General features: G+C 35.6%; 1 long non-coding RNA gene across 1 annotated transcript in view, besides 2 other annotated features; it reads left to right on the top strand.

Annotated features, from left to right (window-relative positions):
* Positions 3,479-3,538: an enhancer, noted in NCBI's record as "active region_17058". NCBI's record gives its function as "activates an Ori minimal core promoter by ATAC-STARR-seq in GM12878 lymphoblastoid cells {active_cell/tissue: GM12878}" and the evidence as "EXISTENCE:reporter gene assay evidence [ECO:0000049][PMID:35858748]".
* Positions 5,058-22,877, top strand: part of LOC102725082 (uncharacterized) — a 56,826-nt gene continuing 39,006 nt past the window's right edge. Inside the window, exon 1 of the long non-coding RNA XR_007088066.1 lies at positions 5,058-22,335. This is a non-coding gene — a long non-coding RNA (uncharacterized LOC102725082). The remainder of the gene's footprint in view (positions 22,336-22,877) is intronic.
* Positions 13,537-13,737: a silencer, noted in NCBI's record as "peak4034 fragment used in MPRA reporter construct". NCBI's record gives its function as "represses an SCP1 promoter by STARR-seq MPRAs in K562 erythroleukemia cells {active_cell/tissue: K562}" and the evidence as "EXISTENCE:reporter gene assay evidence [ECO:0000049][PMID:32103011]".

The raw sequence follows: 22,877 nt of genomic DNA, 5'->3' as shown, positions 1-22,877 counted from the left end.
TTTAGTAGAGACGGTGTTTTGCCATGTTGGCTAGGCTGGTCTCAAACTCCTGACCTCATGTGATCCACCTGCCTCTGCCTCCCAAAGTGCTGGGATTACAGGCGTGAGCCACCACGCCTGGCCACTTGCTATGTTTTAAATCTGCAGACTTTTCATTTCTATTTATCTGCTGTTTGTTCTTTAGTTCTCTGTATGCTGGGTTATAAGTAACCCTCGTATTTCTTAGAAGCAAAGCCTTTTTTTTGTACTTTTTTTTTATTTGTAAGACTAATTTTCAATATTTTGAGACCATGTAAATTACAAATGCCATAGTTGGGAGAATTGGCCCAGTGACTGTTTTACACTTCTAAATTTGTTTTGGTCTATGAGACCTAAATTCATTCTGTTTGTCCAGACTATTATGGCAGAACTCCATAATAAAACTTATTTGGAGAAACAAGGACAGCTCCATCATTGGCCATCTGAATGACAGTAAGAGTGAATGACTTATCTTACCACATTTATCACTATGTACCAAGCAGGCCTGATTTATGTGTAGCAAAACCTTTCATGACAGCAAGGCCTTTGAATATTTTACTATAAAACTATAATGGGCCTAAGTGTAAAAAATAACCTTATCATTTTATTGAGTAATATAAAACAGAGTATCTCAAGATTATGAAAGAATGTACACATTTTAAAACCTAAATTTAAATCTAAATTCAACCTAATTTTAATTTAAACCTAAGTTCAAGGTGAAGGGAGTAAAATATTATCCTTTAAAGATATAAGGTTTTTGCTTTTTTTCTTTTGAGAACCCTGAAAACGTTACCTGATAAATAGTACTAGAGGAATAAAAGACAAGTAGGAAAGGACGTATCCACATATTCTTTCTAGGATTCTGGCTCAGCGACATTATTTATTTTGGGATTCCTAGCAAGGCCACTTTGTGTTCTTGGAGAAATTTAAGTAAAGTCTGCAGAATTAGCCTGTAGGATGAGACAAGGATAGAATGTGCAGATGATTTATATCTCAACATTAAATTTGAGTCTACTTGGAAAATTGGGTAGATCATAAGTTTTGTCCTTTCTTTCGATACTACCTCTTTCTTTCTGAATGACTGGTTCCTGTTACAGTGTCCACAAAAAAAATTATCTAAAATTTAGGAAGTAGAGTATTTATTGCATGCAAGCCCCTTGACTAAATACTGTAGGAAGTTCATTCATTTATTCGGTACTTCCAATGTGCTGGTCTAGGTGCTTAGCACATAATATTGAATAAGACACAATCCCTGTATTCAAGGATACAAAAATCTTACAGTGAGGAAGCAAACAAATAATTAGGCATCATAAAACACGGTAATTATTACCATAAATATGAAAGAAATATACTGTGGAAACAAATGGGTGGGGAACCTAATTCAGCCTGAGACTAAGAAAAATATGTCCTGGTAGAAGTCACAACTAAGCTGAGTTCAAAAAGATAAACAAAAGTAAATTTCACAAAGAGGGAAAGATGAAATGGGAAAATGGAAAACATGTTCTAAGCAGAGGAAAGACATCTACAAAGTCCTGGAAGAGACAGTGGGGCAGACAGGGAAAGACAAGAAGAGTCCAAGAGAAACAATGACAGAAACAGAGAGTGAATAAATATGAATGGTTCCATTCAGAGAATTGAGTGTTCAGTATGGCTTGAGTGTAAGATGGGAACAAGAGATGAAATTGGAGAGTTGAGTAGAGTTGCATGTTAGGGCTTTGTTTTTCAAAATCAAGGAATTTGAATTTATACCAAGGGAAACAAGGACCAATGGAGGCTCTATTTGGAAGTGATATGATTAGATTTGCAAAATTGTTTGGGCTTCAATATGAGATGAGATTGGAGGGATGCCAGACTGGAAGTAGAAGCTGCTGCAGAAATCCTAGAAAAAGATAATCGTGGTTTGTGCTATGGGAGTGGTCTGGAAATGGAGAGATACAGATTCCAAAGATATTCAAAAGGTGGAAAGTACTGGACTGCTCTGTGCTGGATGTATGTCGGTAGTGAGGAAGGGGGGTTAATTAAGGATGATATCCTGGTTTCTGACTGGGAAGGTTAGGTGCATGGTGGTGCCATTTACTCACATCAAAAAACACAAGGGGAAACATAGATTTAAGGAGTAGAAAGGTGATGAACATGCTGAACCTGTTGAGTGTGAAATACCAGTATCACATTCAAGTAAAGATATCTAGTAGGAAATTAGAGATACCAGGTTAATATCAGGAGAAAGATCTGGGCTTAGATCACACACACACACACACACACACACACACACACACACACACATAAATGCATATACAGTCATGTGTTGCTTAACGACAGGGATGTTGTTAGGCAATTTCAGTGTAAACAGTACAGAGTATGTATGTAGTTCTCATGCAAACCTAGATACTATAACCTACTGCTCCTAGGCTACAAAATTGTACAAAATAGTGGTCCTAGAGATGCCTATATAAATAAAAGAGATTGTCTAAAAGCTGTGTGGGGATATAGGGTTGTTCTATAACTGTATAACCTGCCTCTTAGTGAGAACTTAAGCATTACTATATGGAATACAGTGGTCAATTGTGATACAGATCACTAGGCAATAGGAATTTTTCAGCTCTATTATAATCTTATGAGACCACCATCCTATATGTGGTCTGTTGTTGACTAAAATGCTGTTATACAAGGTATGACTATATATACATATGTATATTTATGGTAATTGAAGCTACAGATTTGAGGAGATCAACTAGGGAGAGTACACCAAAATAGAAAACGTTAAAGTCAAACTCATGGCGTTTGTAAAGTATAAGAAAAGTTATACCAAGGAATTCCTTCAGTAGAAGGAATAAGATTCATATGAAAATTAGTATAAAGAAAAGCTGTCACCGAGGGTCAAAATATAGGTACTGGCAGTATGAGGTGGCTCACAACTGTAATCCTAGCACTTTAGGAGGCCAAGGTGGGAGGATCACTTGAGGCCAGGAGTTCAAGACCAGCCTGGGCAACAAAGCGAGAACCCATCTCTACAAACAATTTTAAAAATTAGCCAGGTGCAGTGGTGCTCACCTGTAGTCCTAGCTACAGCAGAGGCTGAGGCAGGAGAATCGCTTTCATCTGGGAATTTGAGGCTACAGTGAGCTAAGATTGTGCCACTGCACTCCAGTCTGGGAGACAGAGTGGTACCCCATCTCTAAAAAAAACAACAAAAACAAACAAAAAAACCAGAGGTACAAGTTACCTGGGACTCCTAGTAGGAGAAGGTTTGGGTGGTAAAGAATAGACTCATGGAAACAGGGGTATTGAAGAGAGATTCTAAAATTGTACTGGGAAGTTTTCAGAAAGACAACTAAAGACTTAGGTGGAAATCAGGGTACAGAGTAATTTTAAGAGAACTGTACCTCAATTTTCAGTTCCTTTTAGTATGAATGTGTATTAGAAACAGAAACAAAGACCAGAACCAGAGAGCCCAAACTTCCGCTGAGCACAGCTTTGTCCAGAGAGTCCCTGAATACCTCAGCAGGGGTCTGAGGAATCTAGGCATATGTCTTTTCTGTCATAAATGTTCAGACAGTTTCTTGTTTTTTTTTTTGTGAGGTATAGGGTAAAGTAATACTTAAAGTTATTCTCTTTATAAATGTGGCATATACAAATGTAAAAAGTAGGGATATATTTCCACTTACCTGTTTGAATGTGTCATGTATTATCATCTCCTTTTGAGCTGGAGGTTATCAGAGAGCATCTCAATTTATAGAAATGGAATCTGAGGCCTTCAGCATGAATCTTTGGGTGAATTTATTTATACAAGCCTGTTTTCTTAACAACTAGTTGGTCACATGGCTAGAAACTAGGGTTTCGTCATAGTCCATGATGCTCAAGGTCACACTGAGAGGCAGGATGTACAGTTATAGAACAACCCTATATCCCCACACAGCTTTTAGACAATGTCTTTTACTTACACAGGCTTCTCTAGGACCACTTTTTAACCACAATCTATTACTGATCTTCTGGTAAACTGCATTCCTTTTAGCAAAATTAACTAAGTTTTCCCATCTATTATCATACAGGTCTTCAGTTACCCTCACATTTGTAAATTAACTGGGTGTATAAATATATGATACCCAAGTAAATCTTTATTTTTTTCACAGCCTACATAAGGAAGACATCTTGCAAATATGATATAAAAAGAGCCTTTATATCAAATTATAATATATTAATATGTCATTACAAATTAATAATCCTGAGAATATTTTCTATATATCCTATAATAAAATATTTCAAAATATTTTACATGTCTATATAAGAATTTATAAGAGTTCATTATGGGTGACAACATTTCACATGAGAGAAAATTTATGACAAGATTTCTAAGTAAAACTAAACCCACTCATGGGTTTATAATTATTATTATTTATAGCAGTACTGTACAGTAGAAATATAATGTGTACCACAAATACAAGCTGCATGTGTAATTAATTTTTCTAGTGGCCATTTTAAAAATATTTAAAACATACAAAATTAATTTTAACATATTTAATTTAATCCAATATATCTAAAATATCATTTCAACATGTATGCATGTAAAAACTTATTAGTGATATACTTTACCTTCTTTGTTTTTTATACTAGGTCTTTGAAACCCAGTGTGTATTTTACATTTATAGCATATCTCAATTTGGGCTACATTTCAAGGGCTCAAAAGCAGATCTATGGTCTATCCTAATAATTACATTGAACTATATAAATACTCCTGCTTTATAACAATAACCACAGCTACCTTTTATTGCCTTGTTATGTGGTAGTCACTATAATAATTTCCATGTTTTTCTTATTTCATCTTCAAAGCTATGATGGAAATTCCATTGTCACCCATATTTTCTAGATGGAATAACAAGAGACTTCAAAGGGTTTAACGGCCTTGCCTAAAGCTGTGGAGTTAACAAGTGATGGACCAGGGATTCAAATACAAAGATTTATATGTACATTGAAATAAGGTATATAAATTATTTATATTATAAATTATTATAATATATAATTATAAAATATCATTTAAATTATTATTTTTTATGTTTTTATATGATTTCATATTTATAATTTTTCAGTAAAGATAGCCAATTCAGTTGTAGGAGAAAGTAAGTTTGTGTTAAAGTGATTTGATAGTTGGAAAAGTTAGACCACTGCCCCACTGAACTTGTGGAACAGTAAGAGAATTTATAAATACTAAAATAAGAAAAATAAACAAAAGAAATTATGTTGCAGAGATAATGATTTTGAATAAAGTAGCTATAGGGCCTTATTTCCTTGCCAAATAAAACCAAAAAAAATGAATAGAGGTGGGAAGAATAATAGTATGTCCTGGATGCATTTCAATGAGATGATATAGAAGACAATTAATATGTGATGCAACGCACTAAGTTGTTGAACCTCTACATTATTAAGTGTATGGAAAGAAAATCAGTAACAAGTGTTTGGAAAACTAGAGAATTGATTTTGGTCTGAATTTTCTAAAATAGGAAGTTAGGAATTTGAGAGCTAAGATATTCGGCACAAGATATGATGTCTGAAGAACTCAGATGAAAATTAGCCAATCTAATTTGGATAAAACTAAAGATGAATGTGATGGTCAGTGGTATGGAGTTGGAGGTCCAGGAAAATAATTAACAAAAAGATGTTCTGTCCTTCTCATGATTCTATGGGGTTTCTCTACTCTTCACTATAACATCACAATGGCTTGTTCTTGCTTCAAGTATGCCTATTTTTTATTTGAATCAGCTCCTTCAATCTCACTGGCCTTGAAGTCTGCAAATTAGATCCCTTTTTCCAAACACTAAGCCATATTTTCCCTACCATTCAAGATACACTTGGAATCGATCTACTCCAGGAAGTCTCTCCAAACCACGTATGGGAAATATGATATCTTATATGGAGGAAAACAATGGCATGGATAATTCATACAAATGTTCTCATTCCATGGGTTAAGTATTGCCATAAGATAAACCAATATCCTTGGGTCTGGTTTGCTTTACCATCACTTTCCCACCTCAGCTTCCACATACCTCTGCTTCAGACCATATAATCCTTATTGCGCCAGTTTGTATCCTTTTTTCTGAGCATTCTGGCCTCTGCCTCTCTTGTTTGCTGTTTACCTAGGAGTCTACTTTTTAAAATCCAGCGAAAGCAATATTAATATTCACAAGCAGGTGGCAAGTAAAAAGAATTGATTGGGGCCAGGAAGTCTTTACTTCCTAGAAGAGGTTTCATCTTACTATCTGATTCAAAGAGATGTAATGGAGTTGAAAGAGAGCATGAGCTTTGACATACACAGAGCAAGGAGGTCCCAAGAGTTATTTGCTTTGTTAATATTACTTAAGCTGTTTAATCTTTCCAGCCTCAGTTTCCTCATCTAGAGTGATATCAAGGATAACTATATGGCACAGCTATTTTATTTATTCATGTATTTATCAATTAATTTGGGAATGGAAATAGCATGTGTCATTTAAATATTGAAAACAAGATATAAAAATACAAATGATTTCTTGTCTTCAAGAGATATGTAATAGATATGTAATGGGAAATAAAAAAATCAGATGTTAGAGTATTTTAAAGTGGTATGTTGGCAGTAAGTGCAGGAACATTGGAGTCGGAAAAAGGGAAATTACACATTTTACTTTGGGGGATAGAGAAATCATTCAGGAAAATCAAGCAGTATTAAGCATTGACACTTGAGCTACAGTGGAGGAAGGATGTAATTATTTTAGATATTTCTTAATATATTCATTCACTCATTTCTTTATTCCTTCAGCAAATATTTATTGTGTGCCCAGTACATGGTAGTGAAAGTAGGGATGAATACAAAAGAGATGGTTGTTTCTAAGACATGCGTATTTCTTCTGTTATCACAGTGCTTATAGTCAATGTGAAAGAGAGGCAGCTATGTTAAGAGAAGTGCTCTTAATAGATCTCCATTTAACTGACTTGGCAAATTAACCAATATTATCAATTTCCTTTGCAAAACACTCTGATTAATATTCAGGGCTCAGTGAAAGCTCACAGCCAGTAGATGACGCTCCAGTAAGCCTACACATTTTTCTCATTGGTGCCGTTGCATGCTTGCCAAGAATTAGTTGTGTTTATTCCCAAACCATTGCCAGTTGACTTCGTATTATAACCATGTAATAAAAATAACATTGCTTCCATAATTCAATGAAATAGAGTATAAAATGAGAGAGTTGCTTCTTTGAAAATTAACTTGAATTTTTTGGAAAGACTCAATAAAGGAGAATTGCTAAAAACTTTCCTATGAAATTAGGTGGAGGAAATACAATGAGCAAAGACTCAGAAAAAAAAAACACTTAATAATCCAGAAAGTTCATATTTAGATTGGCTTGCAAATGTGTTTTTTTAGTTTAAAGATAGTGAAATTAGAAATTATGGATGGTACACTATAGTAAAGAAAGATTGTATGGATCTTCAGTCAATGGACCTGTTTCCAAATTAAAGGCTATATCCTTAAATTAAAAAATAGGGGAATGAATGTATAACTGTATTATATTAAAATAAATGTTTAAGAAATGTAAATATCTTATGCTTCTTAGATTTGAGTCTATTTTAATATTAGCAATCATATGAGATAAGAGGGCTTCTAGTAAAGAAATATATGTTATGGTATGGAAAGTATTAAGACCTTGGAAATCTACAGTGGAGTATACGATCAATCCTAGAGAATAGGAACTCTGAAATAGATTGAGCCAGGCATAGAAAAAGGGGTAGGGACAAGAGAGCATTCAATGTGAGCAAAACAGAGACAAAAAGAGACACAAGAGGCCAGGCGCGGTGGCTCACGCTGTAATCCCAGCACTTTGGGAGGCCGAGGCGGGCAGATCACGAGGTCAGGAAATCGAGACCATCCTGGCTAACACGGTGAAGCCTCGACTCTACTAAAAATACAAAAAAATTAGCCGGGCGTCGTGGCTCATGCCTGTAGCCCCAGCTACTCGGGAGGCTGAAGCAGGAGAATGGCGTGAACCTGGGAGGCGGAGCTTGCAGTGAGCCGAGATTGCGCCACTGCACTCCAGCCTGGGCAACAGAGCAAGACGCCATCTCAAAAAGAAAAAAAAAAAAAAGAGAGAGACACAAGAGGTCCAGATACAAGCTGGACCATATAGTGTGAAAGTACACATGGTACATCATCTGGGCTGGTAGTGGGGGCCAGAACTAGATCTTAGAAAGCCTTAAAAGTGATAATCAAAGTTCAAGATAATTGAACTTTATCTTGAAGGGTTTTAAGTTAGGGGGTTAAATTATCAGATTTGAAGAAAAATAGATGAGCCTAGAGCAGGATGGGTTCATGTGGGACAACATTGGAGCCAAGTGATTAATTAATTTAGGTAAGAGATGATGGCAGTCTGGGGTAAGATGGCTGCAATGGATTGTCATTATGTGATGAATTTTAGAGATATTTGTGAGATATAATCAACAAGATATGGTAACTAGTTGTAGGGGTCAAAAATAGTGGGAGAGGTCAAATATATCTCCTCAATTCTCACTGAAGAAATTGGGTGAGTGGTGTCATTTATACAGGTGTGCAACTTTAATGAAAAAGAGGTTGACTAGGGAGGGTTGGAGGATGAGGAATTCCCTTCTGAAAACACTATGTTTATATCATGCACAAGACCCTTAAGTTGGAAAGTCTTATGAGCAATTGTATATATAGGGTTCAGGAAAGAGGTAAGCTTAGAAATAGAGGATTATTTGGCACTTGCACATAGATAGTAATTGGAACCGTAAAGAGTAGTGTGGATTTCCCAAAGAGAGTTTGTAGAACGTAAAGAGAATTGAAGAAAAGAAAACTGCTCAGGAAAGAGTCCTGGGGGCAGAATATTGAACTATAAATAGAAGAAAAATCGCCAGAAAAGGAGATTAATAAAGGAGAAGCCAAAGAATTAGGAGGAAAGGAAGTGCTCAACGTGTTCATTGCTACTAAGTGAAAAATGCCCAATGGATTTAGGAGTATATAGGTCGTGGGTGCCCATATTTGAGGGTACATTCAGGGGAGGGTCTGGAGCTTAAGGCAGACTCTTGTGGAGTGAGGAGAGACAGGAAAGGGAGAAATGGGAGGTGGAAAATACCATTATTTTGTTGTTTCAAGAGACGTATGTCTGGTGGAGTATATAAAAAGGAAAGCCTGAAAAAGCTGAAAAGGATAGGTCTAAAAGATCTTGAACGCCAAGCTAATGGGAGTTGTATTTTGTCTCATAGAAAATTCAGGGCACAGGGTAAAGTCTATATAATAGAAACCACTTACTATGACAATAGTGTAGGGAATGGAATTAGTGTGGGGTGAGAGGGTTAGTAAAGGAAGTTAGCTAAGGCAAAGCTCGCTCACCCATGGTATACTGGCACACAGGTATGCTGCAAGCAGTTTGCTACTAGAAATGCAGTACTCACATTTGCACAAGACAAAAAAACTGGAGTGGATTCAAGTTTCCCTCTTTGCTAATTCTACTCTTACTTTTTTCCCCAGTATATTTTAGTATATTTCCTATTGGAATGAGAAACAAGGGGGTGGAGTTATAGCCTAAACTTCTAGAATTGTACTTAACATGGAGTATGCCTGACGGAGCATCATGCATGTGAACTTCATCCATTCTGTATGTTGACATCAGGAATAAAAAAGAGGTTGAGAACCACTGAATTAGAGAAAATTGCAACCCTTAAAGCAGAGATGACAAGATCTTAATTAGGCATTATCAGCAGGGAAAGTAAAGAGAGAAAGATTATTGGAGTGAGGTTACAGAGTTAGAAACAATAGGACTCAGAAGCTGATTGGATGTGAGAGGTGAAACATCACTGCCAAAATAGCAATACTCTTTATTGAATGCTTTTAATATGTCAAGCACTCCCAAAAGAACATACACAGTATAACATACATCATCCCATTTCAATTTCCCAACAGTGTTGCAAAGTAGGTATTTTTATTCTGATTTTATAGATAACAAAAATAAAGTTTAGAGAGTTTGAGCAACTTTCTCAAGGCCATCCAGATTTTAAGTGGCATACCTTGGGTTCAAACCCAGGGTTGTTAGATTCAAAACCTTTGTTATCATCATTACTCAAATCTAAAATGACTCTCTTATTAGGTGTCTGGCTGTATGATGGTAAAATCAAATTCAGATGATAAATCCAGATGAAGATCAGGTGTAGGAGAAAAGTGGCCAGTTCAATTTTAAACATATTCGGTTTTTGAAAGCCTGGAGAATATCCCTGGTGAAGACGTCTAATAGACAGTTACATATATAAGTCTAGAGTTAACGGAGATGTCTGGAAGGGGATAAAGATTTATGAGGCATTAGCATTTAAATTGTGGTGAAAGTCATGGGAATGGATGAGATTTCCCAGGGAGATTGCAACATGAGGCGAGGATAAAGTGGAGAGCGAAGAAACACCAAAATGTAAAAGGAGGTCAGAGGGAAGTATCAGCGAGGGAGTCAGGGGAGGAATGTTAATACAAGTTAGAGGGAAGTAGCCAAGGGCGATATCACACTGAAGCAGTAAAGAACAGCAAGAGAAAGGAGTGATCAGTCATCCCATGCTATGGAGTGGTCATGAAAGATGAAGACTGAAAAAATTTCAGTAGATTCAGAGAATTGTGAGTGAGAAATACAAGTTGAAACAGTGTGAGATTTAATTTTAATAATGCACAGTATCATCTAAGGTCTGTCAATCTAAGGTGCATTTTCATTCTAAGTGTTTTTCTAAGGAAACAATAAGAAATTAAGACATTCATTGCAGCATTGTTTCTGATAGCAACCATATCACAGTAGTTAAGGGCACCTACTCTAGAGCCAGCCTGAGTTGAAACCTCAGTTCTGCTACTTATTAGCTCTGTGAACTTGGGCAAGTTACTTTTCTGTGCCTTAGTTCCTTTATCTGTAAAATAGGGACAGTAAGAGGATTACTACTATTAATAAGGTTGTTGCAGCCTGGTTGGTTTTTTATTGTTACATAATAAAAAATCAGGGCAATTGGGGTAGCCATCACCTCAAACGCTAATTATTTCTTTGTGTTTGGAACATTCCAAATCTTCTCTTCTAGCTATTTTGAAATATACAATAAATTATTGTTAATTATATATAGCCTATTGTGCTATCAAACACTAGAACTTAATGCTTCTATCTAACTGTATCTTTGTACCCATTAACCAACCTCTCTTCATCCCCCACTCAGTTGTTCCCAGCCTCTAGGAACTATGAATCTACTCTCTACCTCCCTGAGATAAACCTTCTTAGCTCCCACATATGAGTGAAAACATGCAATATTTGTCTTTCTGTGCCTGGCTTATTTCACTTAACATAATGACTTCCAGTACCATCCATGTTGCTTCAAATGATATGACATTTTTACAGCCAAATAGTATTTCATTGTGTCTATATAAAACATATTTTGTTTATTCATTCATCTATTGATAGACACTAAGTTTGGTGCCATATATTGGCTATTGTGAATAGTGCCACAATAAACATGGAGGTGCAGCTATTTCTCTGATATACTGATTTCCTTTCTTTTGGAGAATACCCAGTAGTGGAGTTTCTGGATTGTATGGCAGTTCTATTTTTAGTTTTCTTAAGGAACCTCCATACTATTCTTCATAATGGCTGTACTAATTGACATTCCGACCAACAGTGTTCAAGAGCTTCCTTTTCTGCACATCCCCACCAGCATTTGTTGTGCAATCTGTTAGCCTACAATACTTATTTGTCCTGATTGGTTTTTACAGTAATTAAATGTGTAAATACCATAAAGTGTTCATTACAGTGCCTAGAACCTAGTAAGAGTGAATTCTTTGTTAAATGAATAGAGATAAAAGTAATCAAAATGCTCAATGGTGAGGTTGATTAAAATAAATTACATATCCATGCACTGGGATATAATGCAACTGTGAAAAATTATGTAGTTAACTATTTAACAATATGGAAAGATACCAATGGACTATTAATTAGAAAAAAGTTATAAATCATATGAGTAGAATGATTCCATATGTGAATAAACAATATGTACCTATGTGTTAGATATGTATGATGATTTTTAGAAAGAGTTGTACCAAGATGCTTATATGTATAGACGGTTGGATTATGAGTTTTTTAATTTTAAATTTTTACACATTTAAAAATTACATAGAAAAGATTATTTTTATGATAAACATTTTTTAACATCCTGGAGGTCAGGATATTGAATAGCAAGTGATAATTATTCTTTGGCAAAACTTTTCTGTGGAAGAAAGTGGACTGAAAGCATAGGAGCTACAGCATATTTATAACCAATGGAGTAGCACACTGTGTAAAATGCTGTGCAGAGTCCTGCTACCTGGGAGGCTTCTAATAAACGGGGGTTGCTATTATTATTATTATTACCACTAAAATGCCTTCAGGTCTCGTAGACTTTCAGCACCAGCACAACTCTACTGAGTAGCCAAGGAGCGGGAAATAAGAGAAGAAACTTTAAAAAAGGAGAGCGTTCTAGAAAGAGAATTCTTCTTGAGAACATTCTGGACAGTGCTCCTGGACAGTGTGCTGGTGCTGAAAGTCTATGAGAACTGAAGACATTTTAATGACAATAATAATAATAGCAACCCTCGTTTATCAGAAGCTTCCCAGGTAGCAGGACTCTGTACAGCATTTGACATGTCCTGCTTCTCGATTGGTTATAAATGAGCTGTAGCTTCTATGCTTTCAGTCCATTTCCTTTCACAGACAAGTTTTACCAAAGAATAATTATCACTTGCTATTTCTATATCCTCACCTTTAGGATGTTAAAAAAAATTATCATAAAAACAATCTTTTCTATATATATGTGTGTGTGTGTGTGTGTGTGTGTGTGTGTGTGTGTGTATGTGTATATATATATATTTTTTAAATGTGTGAAAGTTTTAAAGTAAAATTTAAAAAAAACTCATAATCCAGCTGGCTGTGGTGGCTCATGCCTGTAATCCCAGCACTTCAGGAGGCTGAGGTGAGTGGATCACTTGAGGTCAGGAGTTTGAGACCAGCCTGGCCAACATGGCAAAAACCCATCTCAACTAAAAATACAGAAATTAGCCGGGCATGGTGGCGGGGGCCTGTAATCCCAGCTACTCAGGAGGCTGAGGCTGAGGAGAATCACTTGAACCCAGGAGGCGGAGGTTGCAATGAGCCTAGATCATGCCACTGCACTCCAGACTGGGCAATAGAGTGAGAGTCTGTCTCAAAAAAAAAAAAAAAAAGAAAAAAAATCCCCTCATAATCCAACCATTTACATATAAGCATATTGGTATGTATCTTTCTAAAAATTATCATACATATCTAATACATAGGTACATATTGTTTATTCACATATGGAATCATTCTACTCATATGATTTATAACTTTTTTCTAATTAATAATCTGTCATTGTCTTTCCATGTTATTAAATAGTTAACTACATAATTTTCACAGTTGCATAGTATCCCAGTGCATGGATATATAATTTATTTTAATCAATCTCACCAATGAGCATTTTGATTATTCTTATCTGTATTCATTTAACAAACACTCAATTCACTCTTCCTATGTGCCAGGCACTGTAATGAACACATTCTAGACATTGCTCCTGGAGGTCAGGCCAGGTCCAGAGCTAATTATATATAGGGACTGCCTCAGGACCACAGAGAAGATAAGACTCAAGGTACCAGACAATCTATACAGTGGCCAAGATAATAAGAAAAAATATATTGTTTCAAGATGCTTTCTTCCCACCTGTTATTTTTACAAATTTGTTTTGGTATCTAATCATTTGGGCTAAAAATGCCCTGGTTTATTTCTCATAGAGGCTATAAACCCCTAAAGGTTTATGAACTATATTAATCCTATAATGCTTCCTCCTCTGCTAATCATCTTGTGTATTCAACAAACTCTACTTGAACAACTAAGGTCATGAGCAACATAAACCTACCATGATTAAGAATCATTTCAAATAGCTACAAATAATTTTATAGGCTTATTTTTTTAAAAAGATAACCCGTTTCATTTTGAAATTCTGATTTCTTGGTTCTATTATGGACTAAAATTCTAAGGGTAAAAGCAAATAAAATCCCAGGGAAACCTGCTGTTTTTACAGTCATGGCCATAATCAGAACAAATTTTGGTGAACTTAGGACTTTACAAATTTTAATAATTATATTGTAAAACATAATTCTAAATCAGTTGTATCATCAAATCAGAGCAGTAAGAAAGTGGAAGCTGCTATAATTGTAATGTATTTTTAAAAACTTGAAATGAAAACACAACTTTAAAAAGCAAGTCAGAGTATATCGTGCATATGCTTCAGAATAAAGATAAACACACCATTTAAAGAGCTGCTTAAATTAAAATGTCATTTCTTTCAAGTTCTCTGTTAATAGCCCATCCAGTTAGCTATTGTCCTGAAATTTTAGACTTAGGCAATTAGCCTGTTCAGGTCACCTAAACTTTCTAGATATTTAAGTCTCCATATTTGAAAGAAACACAGCCATGTTATCTAAATAGACAAGTCTAGCAATTTCAAAGTTCAGGTAGACATAGAACATAGAAGAGGGAATTATCACTACATTAGTGGTTTGCCACTACTCCATAACTCAGCCCCTGACTTCCCTGTCCCCTTCCTTCAGCCCCGACACCCCTCCACCCCATCCTAGTCTATAGACAAACAAGCTCTCCAATCTAATTCTTATCAAGATAGAAACAAGGCCAGACCTGCTCTTCTAGATAAAATGCCTTGGCTTCTAACTGCCTGGCTGCTTATCTTTCATCTTGCAGTGTTAACCATAACCCCTTTCCTGACCTGCTCTACTTCTTGTTTTCAGATGAGCAGTAAGGACTGGGGGAAAAACATGCTTAAATGAACAAGTTCACTCTCTCACATCCCTCTCCATTCCCTTTAAAGTCAATTCAAAATATCTTTCCAAAATTATCAGAAATCACATTGTGTGCATTACATGTAACTCGGTATATTTCTAAATCTCTCTTTTCCAACTTTTACTCTTTCTACGCTATACTGCCACATATATCTTTTCCTAAAAATTAAAAATGTTATGTTTTTTTTTTTTGGTTGTGGGATTAGGTTTTCTGAGGAATGGTAGGTTTTGTAAGGGTTTTTTTTTTTCCCCTCCTTTTATTTTTTCTCATTTGTTTGCCTAGATCTGAATAAGCTGAATCATCTTCTCACCTAAGCTGTTTGGTTTGGATACCCGAATTTTTTTGCTTTCATCCAAACAAAGTATTGCACTTGTCTTTCCTGAGCAGGTGAAAGTTAATGCAATATAGACCTTGAGCAGTCAGGCAATGTAACTGCTATGTTTGGACTAGCTTGCTGTGTGAGGTTAGCCTTCCTTGACCCTTGTTCCTTATACATGAAGTGGGAAAAAGAAAAATAAGCTAGGTTCCTTCTGTATGTGAGAATCCTAGGAAACTCTATTGTCCTATATTTTGAAGCAGCTATTAAGTTGAATGGTGTGAGATTACACAGGGTGCTTGCTGGTGTTGTAAACACCACGATCTGGTTTATGACACCTTTATCCCACAAACACTCTTGCACTTGAACCTGCATGTCCTTGAAAATATGGGAGTCTTTTCAAAAGAGTTTGAGCTTCTTGTAAGAAAACCATTCTACTAATATAAGGTGTAACTTTTACTTTTTAGCATTTAAAACTAAGTCTACATTACACATCAGAAAATGATCTGATAGATACCCTGTTTTGATTCGGGTCTTCCATTTTATTTTCTTAGCCTAAAAAAGATCGAATCCAGAATTATACGGCTTCTTTTCATTTTTCATTTTCTTCTTGCAAATTAGATTTCTAATTGACCCTTAGAGACCAATTGCTTAACTGTCAAAATATTATCAATATTGGGAAAATAGTGTCACTGAATTTAATTTATAAATACATATGACATGCTTAACTGTGTATGAGGGATTTCCTTAGATACTAATGGGTGAAAAATAAATACCTGCCTTTAAAGAAATGAGTTCTTTGCCAGAATAATGAACTGTGTAATATTTTACCGTTAACATTGACATTCTCATAATATTAATGATTCCATTTTAAGGATACTACATTCTCAAAAAGCAGAACATACATTTCTTAGTTTTATGTCACCCAGTGTCCATAAACAAGGTTCTAAAGTTTATTTTATTATCAAAACAATTGATCTTCAAATATTACTTTCCTTAAAGGAGATTTATATTTAAAAGCAAATATGATGTTTCATTTCTTATCTTTTCTCCAAAAGATCATAGGCAAGTAAATCTTTAAAGCTTGTTTCGTTTGTGATAAATGCATCTTTCCCGTGACTCTGTTAGGGCTGGGAACTCACAGGGGTAATTGAACTTGTTGCACTTGTAGTTGAAGGAGGGGGATTTCTAATAATCTGTCATTTCTGAAAATTCTTAGTTGCCTATGGTCACAGGAATTTGTCCCCATTTTTATAGGACACTATTAAAACTGGTCTACTTGTGTTAGAGACATGGAGGGAATTCATTTTCACTGGATCTTGTCTTGGTTAGGTATTTAGGTACTGTTTGTTTGGTTTGTTAGGTTTGTCTTTAACCTATAGTAGATCCTTATATGACTATAAAGCAAGGGTTAGGTTTAAATAAATAAAATTATTCAGTGTCAAATGATGGAGTATCTTTCAAGTTCAGTGAAAATGTGGAAAGTACAGTTTAAATTACAGCAGTGGGATTGGGAAACAAATTATATGATAGTACATAGATTTTATAGCCTTTCTAAAAAGGCTTTAAATAAATGTTATTTAAAATTCTCTTCTACTTAGAAAATGTTAAAACTAGTCAGATTAATGTGCAAATGAGAGTGAAAGAAAAAATCACAGACTAGAGCAAATTACAAAGAGGGAGGGAGGAGTAAACCTAACTAGAATGGAAAACTTTCGGGCTGACTTGAGCATAATTTGCTTTAGGAAGATAAATCTAAGGATTGCCTTGGGTCTGGGAAAGGAAAGTCAGGAAGTGTCTGGAAGTAGGAAGGCCAATTGGGCTTTCAGTCAGCCATTCACACATGAGAAAATGGTAGTACGAATTTAGTAACAGTGACAATGGGAGAATGGAGAAAACATACATGAAACATGTTTTGAATGAAAAATAAAAGGCCAGGATATAGTGATGTATTGGATCAGAAAAAGAAAGAAAGAGCTAAATCAAAGATGAGGTTTCAAGTCTGGGCGACAGAAAAACGGTGGTGGGGCTGACATCATGAAGTTAGGAGGGAAAGTTGATGGGAAGTGTCAGAAGAGAATTATATAAAAGTTCAGGGGTTGAAGAAATGAGATTTCTGATAGCTGTCTGTAAATTAGTGGAGCCACAGGCCTGGAACTCAAAGGAGAAGCTGGGGCTAGCAGTTCTGCTTTTTTTTTTTTTTTACAGCCTTTATCATAAAATTGTTTATGAAAATTGTAGGAGTTTCCAGAGTTCACTAAGGCCAGTCATGTTTATAGAGAAAAGCTCAAGTCAACAATAGTACCTACAGTAATAACCACAGTTGGGGGATTTATAAAGGAAGGGAAAGGAAAGGAAAGTTGGAGGGCTACCACAGCTTAATTTCAAGACTTATTGGAAAGCTACAGTCATGAAGACAGCATGATATCGGTGTAATATCACCTATATTACACCTATATTGCAACTGATTTTTGACAGAGTTGCAAGGGCAATTCAATGGAGAAAGGACAGTCTTTTCAACAAAGGATGCTGGAATAATTGGATATACATATGTCATAAAATGAATGCTGATTCATATCTCATACCATGTATAAAAATTAACTATTAATGGTTCACAGACCTAACTACAAAACCTAAAACTAAAATTTCTAAAAGGAAACATAATTTTTTACTCTTGAATTAGGTAGAAATTTCTTAGATATAACACCAAGAACATGATCAAAGAAGAAAATAAGTAAGATTTCATCAAAATTAAAAACATTTTTCTGAAAGATATTGTTAAGAAGAAAGTCAAAAACTGGAAGAAAAATATTTGAAAATCATATTTCTGATAAAGGGACTTGCCTCCAGAATAAATAAAGTACTTTCAAACTCAGTGTAAGAAAACAAATAATCCAATTAAAAAAAAACTGGCAAAAACTTTGAAGACACTTTGCCAGGGAAGTAATATACATGACAAATTAACACATGAAAAGATGGTCAACATCACGAGTTATTAGAGAAATACAAATTAAAACCACAGTGAGATATCACTACACATATATTAGAATGGCTAAACTTAAAATACTGACCATACAAAGCATTAGTAAGGATATGAAGAAACTGAAACTCTCATACATTTGCTGGTGGGAATGTAAAATGTACACCACTTTGGAAATGTTTGTCAATTTTTTAAAAGATATACTACCATATGATCTATGCATTCCACCCAATAGAAATGAAAGCATTTGTTCAATAGAAAATTTGCACACAAATGTTCATAGAAACTTTATATGCAATAACCCTAAACTGGAAATAACATAAATTTCCATTAAGAGGTAGACAGAATTGAAAGCCTGGACAAATTGTATAGGATATAATGAATTCAAATTCAGCAATAAAAGGAAGAAACTATTGATACAGGAAATAGCATGATGAATCCCCAAATTATTATGCTGAGTGAAAAAACCGAGACCAAAGAAGAGTGAATACTGTGTCACTTCATTTACAAAACTTCTAGAAAATGAAAACTAATCTATAGTGACAAACCAGATTAATGATTGCTTAGGGATGAAAGCAGGGGATTGGGGAGAGGGAGGAGAGAGTGATTACAAGGAGTCATGAGGAAACCTTTGGGGGTGATGGATATGTTCCCTATCTTGACTGTAGTCATGGTTTCATGGGTGTGTAAATATATCAAAACACCAAATTGTATACTTTAAGTACATTCGATTTATTATATGTTAACTACTTCTCAATAAATCTGTTAAAAAATTAAACACATTAAACCACCCCTCAAGAGAATCCCTAAAATAAAAATTTAAAGAGGGGGAAAAAAGGAAGGGAAGCTACTGAAAGTTGTAAGAAGAGACAAAAAGTTACCAATAATGAAGCCAGTGTTTCAAGGAGTGTGCAGTTAAAATAACATGACACACAGATATCAAAACTGGCAACTGAGAGAAGTCCAAGGTCCTTGGCAAAGAGAAAGCCACTGACCATCCGTGGAAGTGTAGTAGGGTGACAGCCAGAATGTCAGAGGCTGAAGGGAAGCTATGTGAAACAGAGAGGATGGCAGTGAGCTTAGACCACTTGTTTAAGCAGCTCAGAAATGAAAATGAGAGAAGTAAGACAGTAGCTAGAGGGGACAGACAAGTAAACTAAAGCTTTTTGGTGAAGTTTGAAAGCATAAAAAAAGTAAAAGAGGAATGAAAAAGAAACTGAAGATTCCAGAGATGAAGGTAAAACATGTAGGAACAAGATTCTTGAGGAATTGGAAGTGATGGGATCTAAGGCACAGGTGCCAGAGTGAGCCTTGGAAAGGAGAAATCTGTAATTGTTAACTCCTGACAGTCCTCCCAAAAGGAAGCCTTACAGAGCCCTTGCATGGATTATTTTAAACACTGAGACAAAAATAATAATAATTTTTTTGACGGCAGACTTCATGGAAAACCTGGATAATCCGACATTCTGACATTTCTTAAAACTGATCTCTGACAAAAGAACACATATTAATCATCACGTCTAACCCCCCAAATGTGATTTTTCCCTGCTGTAATCTGCTGACCACAGACCATAGGTCTTTGTCCCAAGCCCAGTGCACAATAGCACTTCTGCTTTGCTGATTGCAGTTTCTTGCTGTTTCAGGAAGATTACTCTGAGTCAGACATTTCACAAGGAAAAGAGGGCAGGAGAAGAGTCAGGGATAAGCTGTGGGTTTATGTGTACAAGGTAATGAGAGACATCTCCATGGAGAAACAAAACAACCATAACTGGAAGGCACTGCTAAGGCTTACAAAATAATGAAAAGGGTATGAAGTTTGGAATTAGACTTGATCTTAAGTCCAGCCTCCCCTTCCTACGTATGCTATGCCCATTCATCTCCTTGCTTCGTCCATGCACTGGGTATACTGTTTACCTCACATGGTTGTTCAAAGAATTAAATAACCTCATGGATTTAAGTATCTGTTAGAACATAGGCAAGGAATATAGGGTAGCTATACTTATTATTTTAATGTGAATATATAGATGTTCTTCATCCATAAAAATACCCCCAAGGTGTTGTAATTCCATGATTGTGTACCGTGTATGTTCAATTAATGCCTGTTAACATTTCAGTGATTAATCTAGCAGTCGTTTTTGTACAACATTGGCAAACTGACTAAAGGTCAGATAACACATCAGCACGCAAGGTTGAAGTGAAAATGCAAACAATTGGCCTTTCTCCACATCAGCATATTGCTTTCTCTTTGGTGCCTACTGGGACTTAATACCACCATTCTCCCTTCTTGTCACCAGTGAAGGCCCACAATGATGGGTCAGTAACTGAGAGGGGCCCTGTGACCCTAGAAGATGAATCCTCAAGGAAGAATCTCCAGTGGAATCCCTGAAGTGCAGGATATTTTGTAAGGCCATAAAATAGGGCTGATCTTCCAGAATATGATTATACTTTTACATTTCTGAATATAAATCCTTATCAAGAAGTGAAATAAAGTAACTCAACTATTTTCTGAAATCAAAGAGAACATGTGTTTTAAGTAAATTAATCCTTTAAAATGCATACCCCGTAGTACCATGAGTCAAATTTAATTATAGTATTAGGCCCACTGCTGAATTATTATGGTTTTTCTGATACATTTAAACTGAGGCTTTTTAGACCAACTTGTAATATATTTCAGGCATCCTCTGTCTAGCAATTTAAAGGATCTAGAATTTGTGGGTTATATATGCTGTTCATTTATCAAGGCAAAACAGAAATTTCTTGATCAGTTCTTAGAATGAATGCATAAACTCAGTAATAAGATCTAGTTATCACGACTGGAAATTCAAATATGTAGTATGAACAACATATCCCGATGACCCTAATCATTAGTGATTTGATGGTAGGTAGGTCAGCTTGTCTCAAGCTTTACACTACAATCAAGAATTAGTTCAAGTGCAAAAATGGAATGTGGTCTTAGTTATCAGGATACATTTGCTAAAGATAGCACACTTCTCGCCCATCTGATCCTCCTGGTGGCAGTTCACTGCATACTGAGTCCTATGACTTAAGAGCTATAAAGGGTCTGGCATGAGTTTTTTTCCTGCTTTATATCATGGCTGGAATTCGTTGATAACCCAATCCTTGGTTATGGTTTGGCTCTAAGCACTACTAAATTAATTCATATATTAAGTCTGAAGAATCTGCACAGATTTTTTTTTCATTTCCTAGGTCTTTGGAGAGTATATGATTAGGCAGAATATCATTGAAGCAAATATTTTCTTTGAGTTAAAAGAGGGAGAAGCATGTACCTGAGTCAAAACCTACAAAAACTGTCCAAACTTGAACTAAGCTAATAATGCTAAGTTAACATTGTAAAGTTAATATTGTAAAGTTAATTTGGCACATGTTTAATGATACACATTATTGTGCTACATGGTAATTAGGCATAAATGGTAAGCAACTAATATATATGACTGAAATTAGAAGTTTTACACAGCCAAACCAAGTTCAAATTGATCATTTCTTCTTGCTTTGTTAATTTTCCATTTTCTATAGACAGCATTAGTGTTGACAGCTTCTCTGATGCCTTGCCTTCGGAAGCTCAGCAGAAAATTATGGTACTGTTTTAAAAATGTACTTGAAATCACTCATTCGTTACAGGTTTGTGCAGTTTAACCAACCCACGCTGACTGCTTACTTAGAAAGTTCTAAAGGGATGCTGAATTAAGTTGCTATGGAATGTAGATCTATGCTCCACTCTTCCCCATGCTGCTCTGTAGCCTGAGTGGCTAAAATATTAATATATGGACCACATACCATACATAGAGTTTCCTCACTGTCTGACTTCCAAGCAGGCAGAGAAGGGAGTGCAGAGAGTGGGGGATATGCATTCCTCAGGCTTCATTCTTTTGGGGTCTCAAGAGGTTCTGCTCTATCCAAGTACCCTTCCTGTCTGTGAGTTCCAGTAACTACCCTGTCCCCCATTGCTCCTTCAGGCCTAAGGGCTATGTAGAAACCTCCTTTCACACTGGTACCCTGCACTGGCCTGAAGTTTCCTTCTACTCAGCTTGTAAAAGGGACATTCAACTTTTCTCACAGTTTTCTAATGTGAATATGCTGTTTGCTTCCTGCTTGGACCCTGACTGATTCAAAAGGTATGATTTCACCCATAAGCATTTATTTTGTCATGGTTAACAAAAAGCAATGTTATTGTAACATCCCAGTATTTCTTGTTTTGCTTGTGTTGTATTTTATCAGTCTTGGTGTGTGGAATGTAGTAGGCACTGAATATCTGCTTTTTGAAAGAATGCGTGAATCTATCTATGTAATGTATAATATTTCCTGAATTACAGTTTTCAACATCAACAGTTTTCCAGTAAGACAATTAGTGATCAAGTCATAAATTGTATGTAGATAAAAAACATTTATTTTGCCATGGTTGCAGGGTCACCTTTGAATTTAGAAACCACCTGCATACATTGTACCAAACTTTGCTTTCTGAGTTTCTTGCTGATTAAATTGCCAAAGTTGTGCCTTTTCACTCACAACATAGCATTGATATAATTGCTTGAATCACCAAAGTAACTGTTTTTTTTTACTTGCACAAAATATATGTTTAATAAATTCAGTTAACAAACCAATTATTGGGTGCCTAATGTAGATAAGATCATTTGATCACTTGTGTGGAGAATGGATT

The sequence above is a fragment of the Homo sapiens genome, chromosome 2 (assembly GCF_000001405.40).
Source record: "Homo sapiens chromosome 2, GRCh38.p14 Primary Assembly".
Lineage (NCBI taxonomy): Eukaryota > Metazoa > Chordata > Mammalia > Primates > Hominidae > Homo > Homo sapiens.
The sequence above is the reverse complement of the archived record's forward strand: the minus strand, read 5'-3'. Positions and strand labels throughout refer to the sequence as shown.